Source organism: Homo sapiens, chromosome 7 (assembly GCF_000001405.40).
Source record: "Homo sapiens chromosome 7, GRCh38.p14 Primary Assembly".
Lineage (NCBI taxonomy): Eukaryota > Metazoa > Chordata > Mammalia > Primates > Hominidae > Homo > Homo sapiens.
The window spans coordinates 16,849,727-16,854,680 of record NC_000007.14 but is presented as its reverse complement, the minus strand read 5'-3'; the positions used below and the strand labels follow the sequence as shown (position 1 = coordinate 16,854,680).

At 46.2% G+C, this 4,954-nt stretch overlaps 1 pseudogene; it reads left to right on the top strand.

Annotated features, from left to right (window-relative positions):
- On the top strand, window positions 3,742-4,690 carry LOC100287613 (Rho GTPase activating protein 20 pseudogene; annotated as a pseudogene).

Below are 4,954 nucleotides of genomic sequence, written 5' to 3'. Positions count from 1 at the left end.
CTCAATGTGTGGTGCTTTTTATGACAGCTCTAGCAAACCAATACAGATGCTTTTTCCTTGCCTCTCCAATTTACATGATTTCCATGATGGGTGGGGAAACACCAAAACTTCCTATCACACACTTCAAAAGGAGCTATGCTAGAATGGAAGAATCATTTCTCACAATAAGTTTGTCAGGTTTTTGTTCTATCCTCCAAACAAACTTCTGCCCTATTAAGTATTATTTCTGTACCAAAGAGTTTTATTAAGTTAATCAAGTCTAAGAAATACCTAAAGTCAATGCTGTAGTTTTAATCCAAAAGCAACAGTCATTCTCAGAGAAAGAGCTCATTACCATCAGCCGTGGTGGCCCACGCCTGTAATCCCACCACTTTGGGAGGCTGAGGCGGGTGGATTACTTGACGTCAGGAGTTTGAGACTAGCCTGGCCAACATGGCAAAACCCCATCTCTACTAAAAATACAAAAAAAAATTAGCCAGTCGTGGTGGCATGCACCTGTAGTCCCAGCTACTTGGGAGGCTGAGGCATGAGAATCGTTTGAACGAGAGGCAGAGCTTGCAGAGTGCTGAGATCACCATACTGCACTCCAGCCTGGGCAACAGAGCAAAACTCCATCTCAAAAAACAAAGAGCTAATTACTATATTTGGTATTTTTGTTTTTATTAAAGCCAACATATATTGAACCTTTTCTATTGTCCAGTCACTGTGCTGAGGTCTTTGCATGGATTATCTGATTAATATCTTACTATCAATGTGAAATATTGTTATACTCACTTTACTAAGGAGTTAGCTATGGACTGAAGATTTTCAATAACTTGGTAAAAAGGTTGCACAGCTAATGAGTGGAGCCAGGGCTCAAACCCAGCAAGTCTGGCTCCTGAGTTAATACTATTCTGCTTTATTTTACATACTGTGAAAACTAGAAGACAATCAAAATTGACACTGTACAATTGTTACCAACGGGTCTTTGTTCTTAGAGCTCCCAAGATGGGGTGGGCTGCTCCCAAGATGGCGGCAAGCCTTTTGTTCTTTGATCTGGGGTTCTTGGCCTCATGGATTCCAAGGAATAGAACCTTGGCCCCTGCAGTGAGTGTTATAGCTCTATTAGAAGCCATGGGTCACGGAAGAGAACCATGGAACCCAGTGACCAGTGTTCAGCTCAATTAGGACGAACCCAGGCACTTAGCTACTCAGGACAATGGCGAACCTCTAGCCGGATCAGAAGTGGCAATGGGTGCCTTGCTGGAGCAGAAGCGCAGCGGACACCCTGCTGGATCTGGAGAGGTGAAAGTCAATGGCAGGTCTGGGGCAGCGGCGTTCAACAGTGGTGGACTCTGAGTGAAAGCTCAGTTCGAGCCGGAACAAACACTGACCAGAAGAGTGTGCAGTTGCAAGATTTAATAGAGTGAAAACAGAGCTCCCATACAATGGGAGGGGACCCAAAGGGGGTTGCCACTCCCTGATCGAATGTCTGGGTTTATATCCTGATCACTGTCCCTCCCCCTGTGCTCTCAGGTGATAGATGATTTGATTATTTCTTTACCTCCTGCTTTTAGCCTAATTGGTATTTTAATGAGCTTTCTTTTTACTACCTGATTGGTCAGATGTGAGCTGAGTTACAAGCCCTGTGATTAAAGGTGGGTGCAGTCACCTTCCCCAGCTAGGTTTAGGAATTCTTAGTCGGCCTAGGAAATCCAGCTAGTCCTATCTCTCACAATGACTGAAAACCCTTAGAGTATATCCTTTATTAAAGAAAGGCAGTTAACATCGATTTTAATTATGTTTTATAGCAAAATCGTAGGCAATCCTTCTTTCCCCAGCCCCGAGTTTCCACTCTGCTGCCCAACAAACCAAAGGGCAAGGTTCTGTCAGTTTTTGGTGGATCAGTGTAGCTGTGATGTTCAAACTGAGAGACTTGGGGGCCAGGAGGGGAGGGACAAGGTAGTATTGTTTTAATATCACGTACACATGCACCCTCATTTAAAAATCCCTGATCTAAATGCCCCAGTGTTCTTACTCTATAATGCTATGCAATGTTACCCATAAAAAAATTTTTAAGAAGACAGGTGATCTTTGGTGGCACTCTTAACTTTCTTTCAGACCTCTTCCCTAGTCATTCCTTGCCCTCTTAACATCACTCACTACTCAACTCCCTCCCCTCCACACTTGCTCTAGGTAAACTCTTACTTTGGGATCTTTTGCTCTCCTCAGTCTCTTTTGCTTTTCCTCAAGCCTCCTGCCCACCACCCCCCACCGCCCCAATATCTTTCAAAACCTTATCTGCCCTTTGTCTAGATTCCCCTTAGAAATCATTCATGATTAAAGTAGCAAATATCTTCTGTAAGGTATTTGCAATTAACAGTATTCCCACCTGTATTTCCATATTTAACAGTGGAAAGCTGAGGAAATCAAAACTTCAGAAGTTCCAGGCCCCAACAGTAAGTGATGAAAGAGAGTATGTGAGGCGTTCAAGTACCTCTATGATACAGTTTGGCTCTGTGTCCCACCCAAATCTCATGTGGAATTGTAATCCCCACTTGTTGAAGGAGGAGCCTTGTAGGAGGTTATTGGATTATGGGGGCTCAGATTTCCCCCATGCTGTTCTCCAGATAGTGAGCTCTCACCAGATCTGATGGTTTAAAAGTGTGTGCCACTTCCCCTTTCACTCACTGTGCCACCATGTGAAAAAAAGGTGCCTGCTTCCCCTTTGCCTTCTGGCATGATTGTCAGTTTCCTGAGGCCTCCCAGTCATGCTTCCTGATAAGCCTGTGGAACTGTGAGTCAATTAAACTTCTTTTCTTCATAAATTACCCAGTCTCAGGTAGTTCTTTATAGCAGTGTGAAAACGGACTAGTACGCTCTAAAATCACTTCTATCTACCAAAACCTGGATATTGTACCATATTGAGGTCATACTCTTCTGATTTTATTACCTGTATGGAACACTTAAGAATCTTACTAATCCTAATGACAGAACTCTGCTAGCAAAAAAAAAAAAAAAAAAAAATCGTAAGAATTTATGATAAAGACCCCAAAAGCAAATACGATAAAATTAAAAATGAGACTTAAAGATCTCTGCAAAACAAAAGAAATTATCAACAGATTTGAAAACAACCTACAGAATGGGAGAAAATATTTGTGCACTATGTGTCCAACAAAGGACTGAGATACACGATCTACAAGGAACTTAAGCAAATCAACAAGAAAAAAACAAAGGGCGGTCGCCGCTGTAACCGCTTCTACCCCGCCATGCAGGGCACGGCGACACACAGGCCCCTGCAGGAGGCAGCTGCCCACATGGGGAGCTGTGCCCACCTGAGCACGGCAGCCGCGCCTTCTGCCACCACAGACCCGACCGCCTAGGTTCCTTCGGGGCTGGGATTTGCTTTAAGATGTGCCCCAGCAGGAGGCTCTGTGGGGAGAGCCGCGGAAGCCGGTGAGGACGCTTGAGTGGAGCCCGTGCCCTCCGCAGCCGCAGACCCCACTCAGGGCGCGAGGCTGAAGCCACTGGGATTTGACGTTGGAGGTGCGCGCCCGCAAGGGTCATCTGAGGACCTTTCCCGCCCCTCAGGGCCAGCCCTGCTGCCACCTCCCCCGAAACCCCCCAGCCCCCCACGCCGCTTCCTCGTTCTCCATATCTAGGGCCTTATTCTCTCTCTGAGCAGACCCGGCAGCCTCCCTCCCATCTCCAGCTGCCTCCCGCCTCATCAGCACCCCGACTCCTCCCTCAGTGGGGGCACCAGGCTGGAGGGGAGGGATCCCCGTTCCCCGACCCCTCAGCGTGCCCCTGGATCCCCCGCAGTGGCCTAGGTGAGTGCGGCCCTTCAGCAGGATCAGCTCCGAAGTCGTCAGGGCCAGCAATGCCTGACTGTGCGCTTAGCCCTGGAAGAAGAAAACACTAACAGAAAGGAGAAGTGCCACAGCTTTTAGCCCAGATAAAGTCCTGCAAAAACTTTAACCCAGGGAAAGTCCTTCCACTAGCATCACACATGTGCAATTCTGTCATCATTTGTGTGCTCCAATAGGACTCTGCGGATTGACAGCCAGGTAGAACTCGGAAGAGGCCTGCACAGACAGGAGGAGCAGCTTTTCCTATTCAATGATCTGTTAGGTGTGGCCAAACTCAAATACAACATAACTGTAAGATACAAAATAAAATTAGATTAACTGGTATATGGACAGCAAGCTGTCTGGATGAAGTGGCAGAAGGCAACACCAATTCCATGAAATCCTTGGCTCTGGGCTGACTCACAGTGAACTTTGTGGCCACTTTCAGTTCTCCAGATCAGAAGGACAAATAGCTCTCTCTCCTTCAGAGATACATCAATCTAGAGAAAGAGAAGGACGACCCAAAGGGCATTTCCCTCAAAATCTCCACCAAGGACATTGAGAATTATGCCTATTCTAAAACTATAACAGTAATGGATTCACATACAGAAAATGAAGATATCAACATATCATTACCAATGCTAAGGATAGCTGGCCCTGAGAGAGGTTACAAGTTATGGGTCAATTCTGGCAAAGAAGAGGCTTCATGCCTACTCACGGGGCATGAAGATCTATATGGAATTAAAATGAGCCACCTTCGAGACACTGCACTGCTAACACCAGAACCAAAGGACTCTACCACCCTTTTCAACCAACAAGCACCCTTCTTCACAGACCAGCTCTTGGCCTGTGGAGGATGTGGCCAGCCCAGACTCAGGGCCTACAGTGACCTGTAGTCCCAGCTACTCAGGAGGCTGAGGAACGAGAATCGCTTGAACCCGGGAGGCGGGGTTTGCTGTGAGCCGAGATCACACCGCTGCATTCCAGCCCGGGCTGCAGAGCAAGACTCTGTCTCAAATAAATAAATAAATAAATAAATAAATATGTATTTTTTTGTACATGCAGAAACTAGAAGCTACTGCTAACTTTTAAAATTCTTTGGTTTTCAAGGCACTGATAATGTATGT